Source organism: Homo sapiens, chromosome 16, assembly GCF_000001405.40.
Source record: "Homo sapiens chromosome 16, GRCh38.p14 Primary Assembly".
Classification (NCBI taxonomy): domain Eukaryota; kingdom Metazoa; phylum Chordata; class Mammalia; order Primates; family Hominidae; genus Homo; species Homo sapiens.
Window position 1 is genome coordinate 84,358,010 of NC_000016.10, and position 22,240 is coordinate 84,380,249.

The 22,240-nt window shown below is 49.2% G+C and overlaps 1 protein-coding gene across 2 annotated transcripts in view, besides 1 other annotated feature; it reads left to right on the plus strand.

Moving 5' to 3' along the window:
• Positions 1,997-3,196: an enhancer, noted in NCBI's record as "MED14-independent group 3 enhancer chr16:84393612-84394811 (GRCh37/hg19 assembly coordinates)". NCBI's record gives its function as "activates an origin of replication core promoter dependent on BRD2, BRD4, P300/CBP and CDK7 cofactors, and independent of MED14, by STARR-seq in HCT116 cells {active_cell/tissue: HCT116}" and the evidence as "EXISTENCE:reporter gene assay evidence [ECO:0000049][PMID:35650434]".
• ATP2C2 (ATPase secretory pathway Ca2+ transporting 2) overlaps positions 10,529-22,240 on the plus strand; it is a 95,650-nt gene continuing 83,938 nt past the window's right edge. For both annotated transcript variants that reach the window (NM_001286527.3, NM_014861.4), the window contains exon 1: positions 10,529-10,705. In NM_001286527.3, the coding sequence (NP_001273456.2) occupies positions 10,607-10,705 (99 nt within the window). In that variant the 5' untranslated portion in view covers positions 10,529-10,606. The remainder of the gene's footprint in view (positions 10,706-22,240) is intronic.

Consider the following 22,240-nt stretch of genomic DNA (forward strand, 5'->3'; position numbering starts at 1 on the left):
TCTCCTTTTTTATTTATTTATTTTTTGAAATGGAGTCTTGCTCTTGTTGCCCAGGCTGGAGTGCAATGGCACAATCTTGGCTCACCACAACCTCCACCTCCCAAGTTCAAGCGATTCTCCTGCCTCAGCCTCCCGAGTAGCTGGTATTACAGGCAGGCGCCACCACACCCGGCTAATTTTGTATTTTTAGTAGAGATGAGGTTTCTCCATGTTGGTCAGGCTGGTCTCGAACTCCCTACCTCAGATGATCCACCCGCCTCAAAGGGCTCCCAAAGTGCTGCGATTACAGGCATGAGCCACCGCGCCTGGCCTTATTTTATTTTATTTTTCGAGACGGAGTCTCACTCTGTCACCCAGGCTGGACTGCAGTGGCATGATCTTGGCTCACTGCAACCTCTGCCTCCCAGGTTTAAGCTATTCTCCTGCCTCAGCCTCCTGAATAGCTGGGATTACAGGCACCTGCCACCACGCCTGGCTATATTTTTGTATTTTTAGTAGAGATGGGGTTTCATCATGTTGTCCAGGCTGGTCTTGAACTCCTGACCTCAAGTGATTCACCTGCCTTGGCCTCCCAAAGTGCTGGGATTACAGGTGTGAGCCACCACACCTGGCCTTTAGTCTCCTTTAATCTGGAACATTCCACAGCCTTCCCTTGACTTTCCTAGCATGGTTATTTTTGAAGAATCCAAGCCAGTCAAACTCCAGAACGTCCTGCACCTCGGTGTGATGCACGTCTTGCTGAGATTCAGGCTCAGCCTCTGCAGGAATGCCCCAGACGCGGCACCGTGTCCTCCTTTGCGAATCATATTGGGGGCACATGATGTGTCTCATCCCATTCCTGGTGATGATCATGTTGATCCCCTGGCAAGGTTGGTGTGTGCCAGGTTTCTCCACTGTAAAGTGACTGTTTTCCCTTTGCAATGAATAAGTCTCTGGTAGGGACATACTTTGAGAGCTTCAAATATCCTGTTTCTCATTAAACTTTGACCTGCTTTGTTTTCAGAGCTTTTAATTGAAGCGAAACTTAGACCTAGAGAAAAGTACACACACTGCAAGTTCCGCTCAATGGGTGATTACAAAGGGAACACAGTGGCAGGGCAGTAGGAGGGTGCGCTTTATGTGGGGTGCTCAGGGAAGGCCTCCCTGAACGGAGGGTAGCAGGGAAGAGCTGGGGGCAGAGCGTGTGTGGCAAAGGGGCATGGGAAGTACCAAGGCCTGGAGGCAGCATTCAGCTCAGCTCGTTTGACGACCAGGAGACCAGGGTTGGGGCAGGAGGAGGGGAGTTGACAGATGGGGCCTCTTGGGGCCAGAATAAGAAATCTAATTGTATTACAAGGGTGATGGCAAGGTCTTCACTCGGGTTCTCCACGTTCCCGGGGTCCCCCAAGGTAACCCCAGGAAACAGTTGTGGAGGAGTGGTGAAGGGAGGCATCTCACTTCACAGGGGGTGCAGAAGCTGGGGCGTCTACCCATCCCCTGGGGTCAGTCATGGGGGAATGCCGGGAAGTGAAGCGGGGAGTTAACATGGCCTTATTTCTGGCCCAGGTGCCAAAATAAAATCCCTCAAGCAGAGAGCCTCAGGTGTTTGCAGTAAGCAGACCTTGTTGAGGGTGAGTGGAGAGGGGCTATGAGCAGCAGCTTCTGCTACAGCAAGTTATGCGGGGCTTGAAATGGGGAGGTATGTGCTCTGACGTTCACTTTTACCACCTCTCTGTGTTACTGAGAATCGACTGTGGGAGGGGAGGCTACCACCACCCTGTGCCCTTGCTTGGAGGGGATCCCAAGCCCCTCTGAATTCCTCAACAGGCAACTGAGTCTGGGGAACAGGCTACACCGGACGAGGAGAAAGGAAGATCCGGCCCCAGACCCCCTGTGCACTCTGCCCCTCCTGCATTTCTAAGAGCTGCTTTCCTGAGAACTGACCTCACCCCTTCAGGCACAACCTCACTTGGGAAGCCCACGGTTCTAGGAACTTGCAAAGAGAGAAACTGCGAACTTTGAATTCTATTGTATCCAAAAGCCAACGAAAATCATAGATTTAACTTCCGATCAGGCTTCCCAGTTAAAAATATTCATTCATTTTCCATTCAACAAGTATGTCTTCAGAACCTATTTTAAAATAGATTTGTATGGAGACACAATCCAAACAAAATTCACCATTTAAAAGCGTGATTCCGTGGTTTTAGTATATTCGCAAGGTCATGCAAACCCTCCCTCTAATTCCAGAACATTGCCATCACCCAAAGAAGAAACACCAGCAGCTCCCAATGCCCCCTCCCCGCAACCGCTGACGACCACTCATCGGCTTCCTGTCTGTGTGCAGTTGCCTGTTCTGGGCAGGTCACCTGAGTGGCGTCACACAGGATGTGGTTTTTGTGACTGGTTTCTTTGACGTGGATCATGTTTTCCAAGCCCATCCAACCTGTCGTGTGGATGAGTGTCTCATTCCTTTCTATGGCTGAACCATGTCCCATCCTCTGGGCATGCCACGTGCTGTTCACCTGCTCTCTGTTGGTGGACGTTAGCGCTGTTTGCATTCAGCGCCCTCTTTTAAACTCGTAACTGTGATAAAGTTGCCATCACTTTGGGGAAACCGTGGGTGCAGTGGGGCTCCCCGCTGCAGGAGATCTCACTTGGTCCAGGGATCAGAAGGGGCCTCTCTGGAGAAGCGACAACTCAGTTACAACCTCAAGGATGCGCAGGAGCCGGCAGGGTGAGATTTAGGGGTGCTGGGGCCTCTGGGGCATGTTCCAGACAGAGGGAAGAGGTCAGGCAGAGGCTGGCAGGGAGAGAGCACATACCTGGGGCCTAGAGAAGGAAGGAAGTTTCGAATGGCAGAAGTGGAGAGATGGAGAGAGAGTCAGGCATCAGGGCTACAGGGCCCTGGTGTGGCCTATGAAGGAGTCTGGATTTTAAACCAAGGGGATGACCTCATCTCTTGTGAGTTTCAAGATGCCAGGACAGCCACAGTAAAACTGGGACCATCTTGGCCAAATCAGGGTGGTTACCTCCGTGAGTGACCGTGGCAGGCACAAACTGGTGAGTTTAAACATGGAAGGCCCTGGGCCTCTTTGCTTTGGATCGCAGTTCTCTTGACTCTGAGTGACAGGCCTGGATGCTTTTGAATTTTTGAAAGGAGAGTAAGTTTGGAAAGGGAGTCACATTTCCAACTGTGTGACATTCTGGAAAAGGCAAAACTTATAGAGACAGTAAAAAGATCAGCGGTTGTCAGGGGTCCAGGGAAGTGGGGGATGAATTAATGGCACTCAGAGGGTTTTTAGGCCAGTGAAACTAATCTCCATGACACTGCCATGGTGGACCCGTGTCATTATGTCATTTATACATTTGTCATAACCCACAGAATGTACGACTCCAGGAGTGAGCTCTACTGTAAACAATGGACCGGCCGCACGCGGTAGCTCATGCCTGTAATCCCAGCACCTTGGGAGGCCGAGGTGGCTGGATCACGTGAGGCCAGGAGTTCAAGACCAGCCTGGCCAACATGGCGAAACCCTGTCTCTATTAAAAATACAAAAAAATTAGCTAGATGTGGTGATGCACATCTGTAATCCCAGCTACTCAGGAGGCTGAGGCAGGAGGATCACTTGAACCCAGGAGGCAAGGTTACAGTGAGCCGAGATCGTGTCACTGCACTGCGGCCTGGGCAACAGAGCAAGACTCTGTCTCAAAAAAAAAAAAGGGACTTAGTTAATAATGAATCAATGTTTGCTCATCAGTGGCATCAATGTGCCGCACCAATGCACAGTGTTATTCATAAGAGACACGGGGTGGGGGTGGGGCTGGGAGAAGGGACACATGGAAACTATTTTCTGTGCAATTTTTTCTGCTCTCAAAACTAAAGTTTTTTTTAAAAAGGAGTCAGTTTTATACTTAATAACTGCCATGGTGTTTGGTAGACAAAATCCTACTGGACAACCATCCATTGGCGTGGGAAAGAGTTGTGAAAAGAGATCTTGGAGAAGTTAAAAGAAAAGAGCCGGGTGCGGGGGTGCTCTCAGAGGGCTGAAGCTGGGGATCCCTTGAGCCCAGGAGTCGGAATTCAGCCTGGGCAACACAGTCAGAAGTTGTCTCTTACAAAACTTTTTCTTCTTTTTTAAAGCAGGCAGGCTTAAAAAGAGAGAGAGAAAAGATCTTGAAGTTTGGGAATTCTGAGGTCAGTCTTTCTCTGTCTGGGTCTTCTTTCTGTCTCCCCACCTGACTTTTCTCTCCACATGGACGGAGCCTCTCCTTCAGCCATCCCACTATCTTCTAGAAGGTTCCATAACTCCTCCCTGTCCCCATCATTCCTTATTCTGAAAATCCTTTGGTAAATGGGTTTATTCATTTGCCAGGTGCAAATAATTGTCAGTGGCTACTTGAAGTTTGATAAGGAGGATTCGGAGGCCTGTCCCAGCCAAGGGGGAAATGCTGCCTGGTGATCAAATACTGATGCCTGCTACAGGTGTCAGAAGAGGGAGGAGGAGCAGAGGCATCTGTGCTGTGTGTTTACCCCCTGGAATTTAGCAAGTCCCGAGCCGCGTTCATTTGGCACCTGGTGTCATGTTCCAAGGGGCAGTGCCTTGTTGCTTCTGCTGGAATTAAGCCCTTTAGAAGCCCAGCAGTGCCCACAGCTGCAGGAAGTGCTCAGCCAACGTTTGCCTGTCATTCAGCAAATAATGGCTATGAAACAATGAAAGTAAGACGTGAATAGCGCCTGGAAACAGGCTGTGTGTGGGGAGCGTGTGAGCGTGACCCTCATTTTGGTGCAAATGCATAGACCGGTTCACATAAGAGGGGTCTGACTACTGTGGTAGCAGCAGAGATGTTTCCCCCTCCGGGCCTTAGCTCCTGCCCTTCTCTTTGCTTGGAATATTCCGTCCTCCCGCCGTACCCACAGAGGTCCCTTCTTGCCTCTCCTGACTCCTCTAGCTACAAGAGGCCCCACTCTCCAGGCCCCATCCTGCTCACTTTTCTTTCTTTTCTTTCTTTTTTTTTTTTTTTTTTTTTTTTTGAGGCTGAGTCTCGCCCTGTCACCCAGGCTGGAGTGCAGTGGCACAACCTCTGCTCAGTGCAACCTCCTCCCAGATTCAAGCGATTTTCCTGCCTCAGCCTCCAGAGTAGCTGGGATTACAGGCCACCACACCCGCCACCACGCCCGGCTAACTTTTTGTATTTTTAGTCGAGATGGGGTTTTACCATGTTGGCCAGGCTGGTCTCGAACTCCTGACCTCAGGTGATCCACTCGCCTCAGCCTCCCAAAGTGTTGGGATTACAGGCGTGAGCCACCACGCCCAGCCTCACTTTTCTTCTTAGTGTCACTCACTGTCCTAGTCTCCTTGGGCTGCTGCAATAAAGCTCCACAAACTGGGTGGCTACAGTGGAAATTTATTCTCTCTCCATTCTGGAGGCAGAAGTCTGAAATCAAGGTGTGAGGGGGGCTGTGCTCCCTCCATGATGGGTGTGGGGAGATTCCTCCTGCCTCTTCCAGCTTCTCATGGACCCAGGTGGTTTGCAGCCTGTGATCAAATCCCTGCCTTCATCTTCAGGTGGCCTTCTCTTCTGTCTCTTATCAGGCCACTGGTCACTGGATTTAGGGCCCACTCAGTTAATTCAGGATGATTTCATCTTGAGATCCTTAGTTATATCTATAAAGATGTTTTTCCAAATAAGGTCACATTCACAGCTTCCAGGAGTAAGGACATGAACATATCTTTTGCAGGGGACATTATTCAACCCACGACATGCACTGCCTCACTTTGCATTACACATGGCTTTGTCCGCGGCCTGTCTCCACCATTAGATGAGATATAGGAAAGCAGGGAAAGAGTCTGTTGTGTTCCCAGCTCGATCGCCAGTGCCACATGGCAGGTGCTGAAAAGTATTTCTTAAGTGAACGAAATAGTTTTATCTTTCCAAGTCCCAGTGTTCCCGTCTATAAAATGATTACTGCCTGTGGGTACAGCTATTGCAAAACAAACAGAATCGAGGGTTTATGCAAGGAACCGTAACTTCCACCTAATTCTTAACATTAGAAACAAATTGTACAAAATATACTTTTGTACAGTGTACCCTTTCCAAAAAGGATGTCTTCAGTGCCACGCTTAGAGAACTTTTGAGTGAAGTTTGTTACCAAACAAAATACAGGTGTCTTGAGGTTGCATCCTGGCTCCCAGCAGGGCGCATTGCTGGGGATAATTTGTGGGCAGTGAAAAGACACGACTCTGACATAGAGAGTGAATGGGAGTTGCAGAGCATGACCTCATTGTTCAAGGTGCCCAGAGCAGACATTTTGAGAAAGGCTGGATGCCTCTGGTTGGGTCCCACCCTTGGCGTTCATCGTTGGCCAATAGGGCAGAATCACTCTGAGGCGTTGAGCCGCAAACCCCAGAAAGTTCTCCAGCCAACTGCCTTGTTAGATTCTTTGCAAGTGGGCTCTAGCATTTTACAGGCTGAAGGCAGAAAAAATAAACAAAAAACTTGAAAAAACAGAATCTTGAAGTCTGTGGGGATGACCACGGAATCCAAACAAAGTGACAGACAGAGCTCAGAAAGGTCGTTTAAGGCAAACATAAATAGCAGGTGTAACTGACGGGGAAACAACAACACACAACAACAACAACAACAACCAACTCAGAAGGTAAGAGCTTGGGCCGGGCACGGTGGCTCAAACCTGTAATCCCAGCACTTTGGGAGGCTGAGGCAGGCCGATAGATCACTTGAGGTCAGAAGTTCAAGACCAGCCTGGTCAACATGGCAAAACCCTGTCTCTACTAAAAAAAAAAAAAAAAAAAAAAAAAATTAGCTAGGCATGGTGGCGCATGCCTGTAGTCCCAGCTAATCTGGAGGCTGAGGCACGAGAATCGCTTGAACCCAGAAGGTGGAGGTTGCAGCAAGCCGAGATGGTGCCACTGTACTCCAGCCTGGGCAATAGAGCAAGACTCTGTCTCAAAAAAAAAAAAAAAAAAAAAAGAGAGAGTTTGGATAATTAACTTACTTAGAATATAAAAGGATGCAGAGGTTAGAAAAACAAAAATTAAAGTTGGAAAATTTCTTTAAATCTGGAAAAGGAAACCAAAAGAGACTGTAAATACTCATCTGTATTTCTGAAGTGTTTTCAGGTAGCTCCCAATAGAACTTTCAATGAGATGTTTATTCCAAAACCAAAGTAAAAATTGACAGCAAATTGAGTGCTTGCCTCAAAAGGCACAGAAATGAAACATGAAAGAGGATGACAGAAGTCAATCTAACAATGACAACTATAACAATGTAAACACAATACATTTCCCTATTTTTTTTTTTTTTTTTTTTTGAGACGGAGTCTCGCTGTGTTCCCCGGGCTGGAGTGCAGTGGCGCGATCTCGGCTCACTGCAAGCTCCGCCTCCCGGGTTCACGCCATTCTCCTGCCTCAGCCTCCCGAGTAGCTGGGACTACAGGCGCCCGCCACCACGCCTGGCTAATTTTTTGTATTTTTAATAGAGACGAGGTTTCACCGTGTTTGCCAGGATGGTGTCAATCTCCTGACCTCATGATCCGCCTGCCTCAGCCTCCCAAAGTGCTGGGATTACAGGCATGAGCCACTGCGCCCGGCCTACATTTCCCTATTATAAAGCAAATCGTTCATATGAAAGTTCTGTTAAATATAAATTTGAATGATCTGCTGTTTATGGGAGACATATTCAAAAATTTTTTGGAGTATTTGCCATGTTTCAGGCACATCATTTACCATAACCAACACTGGTGGAGCCTAATTTACCTAATTTTACACACCACAAATCTAATTTATAGGCCTGGGCAACAGAGCAAAGACCCCATCTCTACATAAAAATAAAAATTAGAAAATTAGCTGGGTGTGGTTCTGTGCACCTGTAGTCCCAGCTACTCAGGAGGGAGTATTGCTTGAACCCAGGAGTTCAAGCCTACAGTGAACTATGATCGCGCCAGTGCCCTCCAGCCTGGACTACAGAGTGAGACCTTGTCTCTAAAATGTACATGCATATATCCACCACCTAGAGTTTCCTTCTGGAATGCCCTGGGCATTTTCGAACCTAGCCCAGGAATTCCAGCCTTGACATCTCTGGGCTGGAGCGGAAGCCATGGTGATAGGATCCGAAAGGCTGGGCTTTCAAATCCTCTGCTCCGGGGATGCTGATCTGCCTGGAGAGATGACATCTGGTTAACAGCTTGGAAAAACATGAAGATGCCAACAAGGCGTTCTTCTTCCCTGGATCCAACATCATTTTAAAATCACAGAATGCCACTTGGGAAGGACCTGAGAAATAACTGAGCCAAGTTCCCATATGTTCTTTTATATTAATAATATAGAAGCGCCTGAGAGCCTGCAATGTCGGGTACCACGACATCGTACTACTACATCATACCTGTGCAAGCATTCACTCAGCCTGAACCACAGGATGCTGAGGTTGGCTGCGGGATGTCTCCTCCTTGTTCCTCTACAACACTCTTTTTTTTTTGTTTGTTTGACATGAAGTCTTGCTCTACTGCCCAGGCTGGAGTGCAGTGGCACAATCTTGGCTCCCTGCAACCTCCACCTTCCGGGTTCAAGCGATTCTCCTGCCTCAGCCTCCGAAGTAGCTGGGATTACAGGCGCATGCCAGCACACCTGGCTAATTTTTCTATTTTTACTAGTGACAGGGTTTCCCCATGTTGGCCAGGCTGGACTCGAACTCCTGACCTCAGGTGATCCGCCCACCTTGGCCTCTCAAAGTGCTGGGATTAGAGGTGTGAGCCACCTTGCCCAGCCTCCTCTACACCACTCTCCACCCTTCTTTGGATTCTCTGCCCAGGAGGCTGCATCCTTGGCGCTCTGTTGCTTTCTGGCTTTTGATCTAAGCAGTTGCCCTCTGCAGAAGTTATCAGTGCCCCAGAGCTCCCCCTCCAGGTAACTCCTCTCTCGTCTGGCCCTTCAGGCCTTGGGTGGGACCAAAGCCACTTCTCACTCTTTGCTAGTCTTCGTTAATGACACAAGCACTTCTGGTTTCTCTACGTCTTCCCCACAGCTTTGTAAAAAGTCTGTTTCTCAAACTCTCCTCAAATTACTATTTCCTACTGGGACCCTGACTCCTACGGGTAGGTAGTGACATCCCCATTTTATGGATGAGTAAACTGAGGTGGAGAGAGGTGAAGAAAATTGCCCAAGGTCGGAAAGGAACATTCCTGGGATTCAAATCTGGACTCACTCACATCAGAGGTTTGCTGTTACCATTATTCCTGCACCTTTGTTGAAACTGGGGAGTGGGGCCAGGCTGATACCGTAGCCTTTGTTTCCTTGAAAGAGGAAGATGCAGGAGATACAAGAAGGGGCACTGGAACTGCCCTGCAGGTTTTCGTGGCCTGGAGTCAACCCTCGGGAGCAATTGAGGTAGGTGGCAAATATTTGCTCAAAAGGGGTGGCTGAATTTCGTGGACAAATGCAGAGGGCACCTCCTGTAGCCCGTGAGTAACTTCCCTGTAGAGATGAGGAAGCCAGCGGAAAGGCGGGTGGCACGGACTTCCCCAGAGCTCCCCCTCTGCTAAGTGGTGGGTCTAGTTACGGATCTAGTCCTACCTGAAGCCAAAGAAAGCCCTGGAACTTCAAAGCACCCACTTGGCTGCTGGCAACTGTCTACACTGCGTATGGACTCACATACTTTGGGAGCCATTTGAGCCCAGCACCTTCTGATGATGAAGAGGAGGAGGATGGTGTCATGGGGACACCAGCACATTCTCTACTCCAAGCCCTGCTCGAGACCTTCCTGTACAGCACTGTCCGCTGGGGCCTCTCCATGTCACTGTGAAGGAGGCGCTATCGTGGTGGCCATTCTGCAGAGCAGTAAACCAAGGCGCTAAAAATATAAGAAACCTGCTCAGGTCCCACGACGAGCAAGAGCGGCGCTCATCCTGCAGACGAGGACAGGGGCCCTGACCATCCGAGACCATGCAGGCGCCAAAGGCAGCAGGGCTCTCAGTCGCTCCTGTTCCTGGACTCACTCCCAGGGCCCTGGAGGTGGGGGTCTTAGCCTTCTGCTGCTCCCCGCTCAATGACAGGCTAGGTTGCCGAGGCTCAGAAAGGCCACGTGACCCGTCCAGAGTGCACAGCCGCAGGTGTGAGTCTGACTGAGCTCCAGCCACCTCGCTCCCGGCGCCTTAGAGCCGCCCACCCTGGGTTCCTCAAGAGGATCACCTGGGGCTCGTTAAAAACCCAGCTCCCGGCGGCTCCAAACCGTGACTGGGCAGGGAGGGGTCTGGGAATCCGGATTTTAAACCAGCATTTGCTCCTCCACCTCCCCCACTCCAGGTGATTCTTAGGATCTGTAAGTTTGGGAAACAGCCCAAGCCCTGAGGCGACGCAGCCTCTCCCTGGGCCTTTCATGGCCAGCCGGCGCTGTCCCCAGAGCCCCTGGGGTCCCAGGCGAGCTCGCGGGGCGGGGCCGGGTGAGCCGGCACCTCCCTGTGCGCAGCCCCGCCCCAGGGGCGGGGCCTCACCTGCCGCGGGCAGGTAGACAGCTACCTGGTAACCGGGTCCGGCCCAGGAGGCTTGGGCGCGCGCAGCCATCCCGGGCCTCGCCGGGGACCTAGGGACGCAGGCAACGCCTGCGCCCGCTCACCATGGTCGAGGGACGCGTCTCCGAGTTCCTGAAGAAACTCGGCTTCTCGGGCGGGGGCCGCCAGTACCAGGCGCTGGAGAAGGACGAAGAGGAAGCCTTGGTGAGTCCCCGCGACTCCGCGCCGGGCGTGCGACCCGACCCCCCATCCCCTCCGTCGTAACCGTCCCCGGCCCGAGACCCCGCGTTCGCGCTGCGATCCGCGAACTCGCCCTCCTCCCCTGGCTCTGGAAAGAAGCTGTCCTCACAGCAACCGCGCTCTCATCTGCGCTCTGGCGCGGGGAGCTCAGCATGGAACCCTCACGTGAACCCATTTTGTGGTTGAGAAACTGAGGCCGAGAGTGGTTAAGTATATTCCCTAAGGGGCACGGAGCTAGGAAGTGACCTGGCTGGGAACTTAACCTAGGTTTCTCTGACTCCAGAGAATTAAAATTCCTGGGTCTCCAGACTTGGGCTGCTTTATGGATTTTTAAAACTTAAATTGGAAAATAAAATTAGAGGGATGCAAAAAACAAAAGATTGCTGAAATGTTGTAGCAATAATAGAAAGCAAAGTTGGAGCTGAGGGACCTCCCAGCCTCACTTCCTACAGTCAGGTACTTTTAGAAAGTCACTCAGAGCTGTATGCCTGCTTTGCAACCTTCAGGGACCCTCTGGGATAAAGCAGCAGGGTGCCAGGGCAGGGCGGTTCATGAGGGAACGAAGTGGCAAAGCTGTCAAATAAAGCCCCTCCTGTTCCTTGGATTCTTGGAAGCCAGGGGTGAAGCCAGGCTTGAGGGTGACCCAACACCCTTCTTTTTAGCTTCGCAAACAGAACTCGTTGCATGCTTTAAGGTCAGGGGGGCACTGAATTTCTGCAGAAGCGTTTCTCTGCACGCCAGAGGGTCGTTGCACTTTTTTTTTTTTCATTTACGCTTAAGCAGTCGTTCAAAAGTAACATTTCTGAACGAGTCCCCTGGGTTGCTAATTAGAAATATGACTTGGCGATGGCCTTTTGACCAGTGAAAGGAAACTTCAAAGGTAAACTTACCTTTTAATTAAAAAAAGAAATTAGCTGAAAAAATATTTGACTTAAAATTTTATTTTTTTCTCCCAAAGAATACTAATGGTCAAAACATTTTGTTTGTGAGATTAAGTATTCGTGCTTTTTTAAAAATAGTGTTTTGTGCTTTTTTAAAAATAGTGTTTTATACATCCCTGTTGATGTAAGAATTCTGGTCTTAGGGTGGTAGGCCACAGGACCACGTAACTAGCAGTTTTTGAGCAATCTCGATTTTTCTGAAGTGGCATGTTAATATTGATAGGATATAGAGTTCAATTAATTGGCTGTGATCCATTTCTCTGCTTCTGCGATACATTCTGCTAAAGGAGTTTGAAGTTTATTTGCCATCACAGGTTGCCTTTCCTATGTTGCCATTCCTGTTTTTTCCTTTCCATCTTTTGATTCTTGCATCAGGCCAGGTATTTTTCAAACTCTCCTGGTGTGTAGTTGGTTACCATCAGGTTTCACAGGATGTCCAGGAATGCAGGTGCATGGATGATGTAACCTCAAGGGAGATGCTGGGAGAGTTTGATCTCTGTGCCAGGTGGACTCGTCCCTCCAAAGCTTTGCAGGAGAGTTCTCAGAGGTCTGACAGGTGTTCAGCCGGTCTGTCAGTGTGCTCTCCCACCTGGCTGTGGACCGGGGTGCTCTCAGCAGCATCCTGAGGCCCTGGGTGCGTGATGATGGGCAGTGTGCAGCGCCAGGAGGCGGGTGATACCAGCACTGACACCAAAGGCCAGCTGAGAAAGAAGCCATGCTGTCTCCAGAGGCAGCCTTGTGCAAACCCAGGAAATGTGCAAACCCAGGAAATGGCAATGAAGATCGATGGGAAGTGTGAGGAGGGAGGGAGGTGGGGAGGCCGGGTGGCTGGGCGAGGCACTCACTTCCTGCCAGGTTGGCTCAGACCTGAACACCTCCTTTGCTGTCATACTCATGTCCTCTCGTTGGAACTCCTTTCTCCCAGGGTTTGGAAAGGAGGCGATGTGTGTTGAGGTGATCACTTCTACAATAGTTGGAATTGTCTTTTTTTTTTTTTGCGTTATTTCATACTAGTTTATTTAGGGGTTCCATTTTCACTCCTCAATAGAACCGTCTTTTATGAGCACTAATTACATGCCACATCCAGGATGCCTGTAGGAGGCCTCTAAGCCCTCCCCTCCCCCAGCCACTTTGACCAGTTACCCCAGTTCTAATAGTGATTGTTACTGAGAACTTGCTGTGTCTTCTCTTGGGCCTCTTACCTCCAAGGTAAATTTTACTCTCGTCATGTGATCAATGAGGATGTGAGGCTCCTAGTGGGGCCACGTTTGTTTGCTCAGTGAGCATTTCCTGACAGCCAGTTTTGCTAGGCGCTGAGGATACAGATGTGTACAAAACAAAGTTCATAAAGGAGGCCAATGGTCAGCTGAGAAACTGGGAGATGCTTTATTTGAGACCCAGTGGTCTCAGGTGCACTGGAGAATCAAAGAGTAGAGGACCAGACAGAGGACTGGTGGTTGAGAGGGGAACTGGAGACGACCCCATGTTAGAAGCACTGGAGACTGGATTTCAGCATTTCCAGGAATGGAAAGAAAGGTGTTTGAGCCGGGCGCAGTGGCTCATGCCTGTCATCCCCACACTTTGGAAGACTGAGGCAGGAGGGTCACTTGAACCCCAGAGTTCAAGATCAGCCTGGGCAACATAGCCAGATGCCATCTCTGCAAAAAATTAGGCGTGGTGGTGTGCACCTGTGGTCCTAGCTACTCACCAAGCTGAAGCAGGAGGATTGCTTGCACCTGGGAGGTCAAGGCTGCAGTGAGTTGTGATCATGCCACTGTGCTCCAGCCTGGGCAACAGAGTGAGACCCTGTCTCAAAACAAAACAACAACAAAAAGGTCTTTGAGAGGCCTCCTTAATTTAGTTACTAGAAAAAGCTTCTCACTGCTGACCTGAACATTAGGGTAAGGAAGAGATTGGAGCAGAAATTCCTGCTTCCCAGGTGACTCAGCGCCAACTCCGGGGGAAGCTGTCTCTGCCCCTCAGGGCTCCCATCTCTTAAGTGAGGCAGGTATAGCCCCAGCCCACTGCCTTCCTGGCTGGTGAGCAGATGCATCCTTCTGGGCTCTCCAGGGTGAGGCTTGGATCCCAACAGACGAATGTAGTGACCACCCATCCATTCAACCTAGATTCACGGAGGGGGCTCCCTCTGTGTGTCAAGTGAGTGCTACCAGCTGGAGTTGGGGCTGATAAGGATGCACAGTTCTCTACCCTCAGGTATCCCAACCAGGAGGCAGAGACAGGCACCCAGCAACTGGTCACAGTTCACTGTTTAATGCCAACGTGTCAGAGCTGGGAGAAAGACGTGATGTTTAAGATGAATAGGAGTGGCAAAGGGTGAGCTGGATGAAGGGCAGGGATTGACAGCGAGTTCTAGACAGAAGAGGTAGAGGCGTTGGGGTTGGTAGGATGAGGCTGCAGAGGAGGGTCGTACGGAGCCTTGTCAGAGTGTGGGCTTTATCCCTGGAGCAGTGGGGGATCGTTGAAGGGTTTTAAGTCAGGACATGATAGTCACTCATTTATTCCCAGATGGGCCAAACATTAGAACTGTGATAAAACAGGCACAGTCAGATTTGTGTTTTTAAGAGATTACACTCAGTTACTGGAAAAGAGTATGTGTGTGGGAATTCTGAGGCTCATGCACACACAACTTTAACCCAAGGCTTGCCCAAACTCACAGATCATTAGTGTTTCTCAGAATTCAGCAACATGTGGGCATCTTCTTAAAGAAATGTACTGCAACCCCACAGTGTTTTTTCTTTCGAGACAGTGTCTCGCCCTGTCACCCAGGCTGGAGTGCAATGGCATGGTCTTGGCTCACTGCAACCTCTGCCTCCCAGATTCTCCTGCCTCAGCTTCCCGAGTAGCTGGGATTACAGGCACCCGCCACCACACCCAGCTAATTTTTGTACTTTTAGTAGAGATGGGGGTTTCACCATGTTGGCCAGGCTGGTCTCGAACTCCTGACCTCATGATCCGCCTGCCTCAGCCTCCCAAAGTGCTGGGATTACAGGCGTGAGCCACCGCACCTGGCCAGTGTTGTCTTAAATGATTTGTACAAAAGTGTGATATCAAGTAAGTATAAGCATAAAACTTGTAATAAACATAACTGTTTGCTTATAACTCAACTATAAAATCAGGTTCAATTTAGGCCTGTTGCGGTGACTCACTCCTGTTTTCCCAGCACTTTGGGAGGCTGAGGCGTGCAGATCACTTGAGTTCAGGAGTTCAAGACCAACCTGGCCAATATGGTGAAACCCCTCTCTACTAAAAATACAAAAATTAGCCAGGCGAGGTGGCAGGCACCTGTAATCCCAGCTACTGCGGAGGCTGAGGCAGGAAAATCCTTTGAACCCAGGAGGCGGAGGTTGCAGAGAGCTGAGATCACGAAACTGCACTCCAGCCTGGAAGACAGAGCGAGACTCCCTCTCAAAAAAAAAAAAAAAAGTCAAATTTATAATAAAATTATAAAGTACAAATAGAACAGCCTTATTTTGATATATTGGTGATGTCTATTAAAACTCAATCAGGCTGGGCATGGTGGCTTACGCCTGTAATCCCAGCACTTTGGAAAGCCGAGGCAGGCGGATCACCTGAGGTTACGAGTTCGAGACCAGCCTGGCCAACATGGCAAAACCCCATCTCTACTAAAAATACAAAAATTAGCTGGGTGTGGTGGTGGGTGCCTGTAACCCCGGCTACTCAGAAGGCTGAGGCAGAAGAAACGCTTGAATGCAGGAGGTGGAAGTTGCAGTGAGCCAAGATTGCGCCACTACACTCCAGCCTGGGTGACAGAGCGAGACTCCATCTCAAAACAACAACAACAAAAAAAGAGACTGGAAACCAAAGCCTTTTTTGAATCTCATTTTGAAATGAGGTCTCATAACTTCTGCCATATTCTATTCGTTTGATGCAAGTCTAGGTCCAGTCTACACTCAAAGGGAAGGGGTTACACAGGCCATGGGTACTGGGAGGGAGTGATGGCTGGGGACTGCCTTAAAGGCTGCCCATTGGAATAGTAGAAAGAAATATTTCCTTCAATGACGTCATTCACGTTAAAAAAAATCCTAGAACCACATCTGACATGTCATCTGCTCACTACTTATCTAGTTTTGTTAGTGTTTTCATTCATCGTAAGTTCTGTTCTTTAAACTCTTTTGAACTTTTGATTTTGAAAATACTGATGCTAAGAATGTCTGCTAATGTGTGTATGTACAAAATGACATTTACATTTGTCAGGACTTTGTTTGCTAGTTTAGGATAATCAGACTCAAACTCAAGTCCAACTGCCAGCAAGCAGCCTACGAATGCCAATTTTAAGGCTGTCATCTGATAACCGTAGAACTGGCTCGTTCACTTGAAGATAATGTTAGTGTTGGGCGTTGTTGAAAGAATATTTCTTCATTTGGTATCTATTTGTATGTACTACTACACTTAGTGCTCATTGACGGTGCCAGCTGCTACGTACAAAGACTGGATTCATGTAAGGCACCTGCTTGTGACGTGACTACACTTCTCAATATTTAGGTATCTTAGGCTTTTCTCACCGAATCCACAATTGTGCGCTGTGTGATGACTCAATTCTTCTGCTAACCTTTCTCTCTGAGCCATTGAAGCTTTCAGTGTGTGTCAGCCTTCACTGGGATGCTACAGTGTGTGCTGTGATGGTTGTCATGGATGCAAATATGCACACTGGTGTTATGTCACAGTCCTGAGTTGTAAGTTGCCCCCCACCCCGAAAGGTCTGTGTTGATCAGACAGTCATTGAAACACATTCAAGGTTAATAAGTTCTCAGAAAACTTGAAGGCTCCTGAGAATACGTCTGAAGATGGCATCCCGGAAACCCTGCCCCCAATCCAAATGTCACAAGCTTTTTTTTAATAAGGGTAAAGAATCCCAGAGTCCCAACTAGAAGGAACTTCCAGTGTGTTAAATGGTTGCTGCTTGGTGGCCATCATATTAGGGGTGGGACTGGGAGCTGATGGGGGGTCCTTTGGTTTTCATTTGTGTGCACACAAATTGTTTGTAGATTTGGTATTTCTCCTAAAGCAGAGGCCATCTGGATGAGAACACAGGCAGCTGCTATATCTTCAAGGGTTGACATTCAGCTGCTATTTCTCTTTCGGGGACAAAGAAATACAGTTATGAAAGACCCGAGAGTTTGGGTTTTATTGCCACCCCACCTAATAATCTATCAAAAAGGAGAGAAAGGGAATTAGCAGAAAGCTTATTCAGGGACTTCAAAAATCATATAGAGTATTTAGATGAACCTGTCCAAGTCAGATGTTGAGAAGGATGGTATTCGGATGGTTGTTTGAGGGTTAATATAGACACCTGGTAAGAAGGACTTGTCTCATATCAGATACAATGAAAACAAATACTTTAAAACATGAAATGAGATATTCAAAATATTAAAAAATGGCCATGAGTAGAGGTTTGTTTACAGATATTCTGGGATATCTAGATAGCAGAATTCTCACAGACACTGAAACAGATGCTGTAGAAGCATATGTAATGACACAGTGGACGGCTATGATTCTAATGTTTTTAACATGAAAAACGTCAAACACGGCCCGGCGCAGTGGGTCACGCCTGTAATCCCAGCACTTTGGGAGTCCCAGGTGCGTGGATCACTTGAGGTCAGGAGTTCGAGACCAGCCTGACCAACGTGGTGAAACCTCGTCTCTACTAAAAATACAAAATTGGCCGGGTGTGGTGGCATGTGCCTGTAATCCCATCTACTTGGGAGGCTGAGGCAGAAGAATCACTTGAATCGGGGAGGCACATGTTGCAGTGAGCCAAGATCATGTCCCTGCACTTCAGCCTGGGTGACAGAGCAAGACTCTGTCTCAAAAAAAAAAAAAAAAGAAAGAAAGAAAAATGTCAAACATACAGAAAAACAGAAGGACTAGACAGCTGTCTGCTCACCCACGTGGATTCCACGATTCTTTTGCCATCTTTGCCCCTCATGATGTATCATTCAGTGGAAACAGGTGGTCGTAATTTCTTTTGGAAAAAAACATACTTTTACAATGTGCAGAGAATACAATCTGGAGAAAGATCATTTTGAGCAGTATTTTTATCTTGGGATGACAAATTTTCTTCTTTGTAATCTTGTGCATTTTCCAAATTTCCAGCCACAAATATGGTTTAATTTTGTAGACAGAAAAAAAGGAGATGTGAAAAATAAAGAGGAAGTCTGAACAAAAGAAGGGGAGAGAAAGGATTGTGGGTTTTTAGGTCTGTGTTGCCTTTCTGGGCTCGGTGGGGGTAGCTGGGTGGGTGTAGCTGGGTGGGAGTGGTACTGTAAACAGCATTATTAGGCAAGAATCCAGATCCCCAGGGGTGGCGGTGTATGAGCGGTGCCAGCCCAGAGCTTTGGGCGCCAGTGGGAGAAAGAGGTGGATGGGACAGGGGTCTGTACGTGACCATTTGGGGGCTCCTGCGACCCCTTGCGGCTTCCCAACACAGAGATAAGTAGTTTGGGTCAGCACATTTGAAACTTCCACAGGGGAGTTTGGAATGACCAAGGGCAGGGAGGAAAGGTCTCTGGTTCAAGGAAGGCAGGTGAGGCGATGAGGTTGCCATGAGGGCAGGACTGGCTACAGAATTCGTGGGGCAGACTGCCAATAGCAGGAAGACACTTGCTTCTGTCTTCTGTGATCTCTCCCTCGAGTGTCCTGGTGAGTTCCACTTGATATAGATTATTGGTCTCCACCACACAAGGGATTACTACTGGGTGAGTGTAGACCAAGTGTGTTCAACCTGCAGCCCAAGATAGCTTTGAATGCAGCCCAACACAAATTTGTCAACTTTCTTAACACATTATGAGATTTTTTTTGGCAATTTTTTTTTTTTTTTAGCTCATCAGCTATCATTGGTATTAGTGTATTTTATGTGTGGCCCAAGACAATTCTTCTTCCAATGTGGCCCAGGGAAGCCAAAAGATTGGACACCCCTTGTGTAGACCCTGCCAGGTATCCCCCATCGGGGAGGACAGTCATGGCCGCTGGGTGGAGGAGGGGAGATGCCAAGCCCCGGGCACACATCATCCCATGGGGCTAAATTTCCACATACACATTCAGATCCAATGATTACGCATTCCAAGATGGCAGCTGTGGAGCATGAAGCCTCAAGGCCAACACCTGTCCTGCACGGGGATCTCTGTGCAATTGCACTGGCCTCATGCCAGTGAGGCTGGCCCTGCTGAAGGGTTCTTGTCGGAGAGGAAACATCCAATCGATACCTCCCCTGTGGACTGTCAGTGATTCTTCTGAATTGTCATGGGGTTAATCTGGATCTGTGGACGCTTCAGAGGCTAATAATCCCAGTACCTCTGGTCTCTAAGGCATCTCACATGATGGTGATAAGAACATGGGAAATTTAGTAGTGGAAGTCGTGTGCTAAGACTGAGTGAGTAGTGGAAGCCGTGTGCTAAGTCTCAGCGAGTAGTGGAAGCCGTGTGCTAAGTCTTAGTAGTGGAAGCCGTGTGCTAAGTCTTAGTAGTGGAAGTTGTGTGCTAAGTCCTAGTAGTAGTGGAAGTCATGTGCTAAGTCTTAGCAAGTAGTGGAAATCATATGGTAAGCGGGAGCTGGTGGGAGCTTTCAATCCAATCACCTGTCTTCCCTCTCCCTGCCTGGAAGGTGGAGTGGGCCGGACAGGCATCTTTGTTGTCAATGAATATGAATCCCAAAGGTGTCCAGCCAGCTGCCCTTGCTGGAGACTCCACTTCCTCACAGCTCATTTATTGTCTCAGTTCTGGAGGCCAGAACTCCAAGAGCAAAGTGCCAGCAGGGTTGGTTCCTCCGGAGGCCTCTCTGCTTGGTTTGCACATGGCTGCCTTCCCTGTGTCTTCATACGGTTGTCCTCTGTGCATGGCTGTGTCCTAATCTCCTCCTTTTACTTGGACACCAGTCGTATTGGATTAAGGCCCCACCAATGACATCATTTAGCTGTAATGACCTCTTTAAAGGCCCCAGCTTTAAATATAGTCACTTTCTGAGGATATGGGGTGTGGGGTTTAGGGCTTTAGCCTGGGAATGGTGGGGGGGTTGGACAACTCAGTCCAACACCATGTTCTGTGTAGAAATTGACTTGAAAGGTATTTTTTTCTTTGAGGAGCTGTGGGCCACCAGGAGAAAATTTGTAATTGTGTCTTGAGGCTGCAGCCCCTCTGGAAATGTTTATCACCTCTGCCGTCTGCCCCAAGTCCTCAGGAGAAGCGGGCATGGTGCCCCACTAGCTGGGCCATATTCCTATGACCTTCCCTAAGACCTCCCTGTGGCCTATTGGAGAGAAGAGAGCTCAGCAGAGGATGTGTTGTTTGGCCCACCTTGAAACTCAAGTGCAAACAGAGACAGGGAAGAGAGGGGCCCAAGATCTGCGATTCCAGAGACCCAGAGGGAAGAGATGACAGGCAGGCACTGCACCTCACTTTCCTAAGCCAAACCAAGGACGCCAACTCCCAGGCTAACTAGAACTGCTTATTTCACCCCCATGCACTTCTCAGGACGCTCCCTGTCTTTGCCTCTCCAGCTGGACCGAATCTGGGGGCTCTGGGCGTAGGGGAAGGAGTGTTGGTCTGAGTGGCCACTCTTAACCAGGAGCCATTGGTGTAGGGCAGACAGGGCCCCTCCGTCGCCGGCCACATGGATTTAGGCAGGTGTAATCTCTCCACATTCATGTGTCCTGGTGTGAAAGTGGAGGTGTTGGGTGCAAGAATGGAGGGCAGCATTGGATTCCCCTTCTGACTGCTAGATTCCTCCTCTCCCTGGCTTTTTGTGGAAGCTGTGTTGGGTAACAGATCTAAGCATTCCACAAAGTTCCCCTCACTACGCCTCCCTCAGTGAATGTTAGTAATCAAAAAAGAGTAAGTGAGGGAAGGTGTTTAAAACTCTCTGCACAATGCCTTGTTCACAAGATGATCTTGTTTTTCAGAATCAAGCCCTGTCTTGCTTTGACCTTGGGTCATGTGCTAGGCGCTGTGTCCATAGAAAGCGCTCAGTGGTGGGGGCAGGGCCGACTACGTGATTGTCAGGCTCACTGCAAAACGGCCCCCTCCTTGAAAAATGACTAAGAATCTCAAGAAGGCGGCAGCAGAGATTGAGCAAAGTGCAGGCTGCCGTGGACACACGAAGCCATGAACGTGGAGCCGGGCCTGGTGGGCTCACCGTCGCGAGGTCCCTGGCTGGAGACACCAGCAAGCTCTTGCTGTTTGGGGTTCTCTTTTTCAGCCTCTACTCCAGCCACTCCTCTGGCCCTCACCTACTTTTTTTTTTCAACTTCTATTTTAAGTTTCAGGGTGCAGGGTACACATGCAGGATGTGCAGGTTTGTTACATAGGTAAACATGTGCCATGGTGATCTACTGCACAGATCATCCCATCACCCAGGAATTACGCCCAGCATCCATTTCACTCTCTTCCCCTCTCTTCCCCTCCTTTCCCCTCTCTTCCCCTCCTTTCCCCTCCCCTCTCCTACCCTCCCCTCTCCTGTCGTTTCCTTTCCTTTCCTGATAGGGTCTTACTCTGCCATCCAGGCTGGAGTGCAGTGGCGCAATCATGGCTCACTGCAGTCTCAATCTTTCTGGGCTGAAGTGATCCTCCCACCTCCCGAATAGCTGGGAATACAAGCACACAACCATGCTTGGCTAATTTTTGAACAGATGGGGTTTTGCTAAGTTGCCTAGGCTGGTCTTGAACTCCTGGGCTCAAGAGATCTGTCCACCGCGGTCTCCCAAAGTGTTGGGATTACAGGCGTGAGCCACTGTGCCTGGCTGATCCTTTCTTTTGATGACATGTCCTCCAAGTGTGGGCTGGGGACCAACAGTGTGAGCATCACCTGGGAGCTTGCCAGAAATGCAGAATCTCAGGTTCCACCCTGGAACTACAGAATCAGAAACTCTGGGCGGGGTCCCAGCAATCTGAGACTCAGCAAGCCTCGCCGGGGGGTTCTGAGGCTCCCTGGAGTTTGAGTACTGCTGCTCTGGGTGATTAGCTTCTCTGCGTGTCTCAGATCCATCCTCCTGTTTGCCAGGCCCTCTTGCAGATACTAGAGACAAAAGAGTGAGCAAAGCGCTGATCCTACTGGGTGGGGCTCATGTTCTGGTAGGGAAGGAAGATGTCTATCAAATAATTCCTCCAGTGAGTATATAATTACACACTGAGATAAACCCCAGGAAGGAAAGCAGAGCCTGTAAGAAAGAAGGTAGGTATGGCCTGGGTGTGGGGGATGGGTGGGAATGCTACTGTTAAAGTCCAGTGCCATCTGGGAAGACTTCCTGGAGGAGGTGGCAGGAACTCAGAGAACTAAGCCTTGCATTTGGGCTACACGTGCTCCTGCATTTATTATTTTCATTTTTTATATCAGCCACATTTGGTACACCCTGGAGCCTACAGCCTGACCTGCAGTAGATTTCAGGAAAGATAAGCTGGCCTCCCTCCCCTGTGATCTGGGAGGTGCCTGTTCCCCAGGGAAAGTCTATAAATAGCCAGTCTCCTTCAGCAACACCTATCTCACCAGGCCTTCTCCTCCTTCTACCCCCTCCCCCAGATATCAGCAT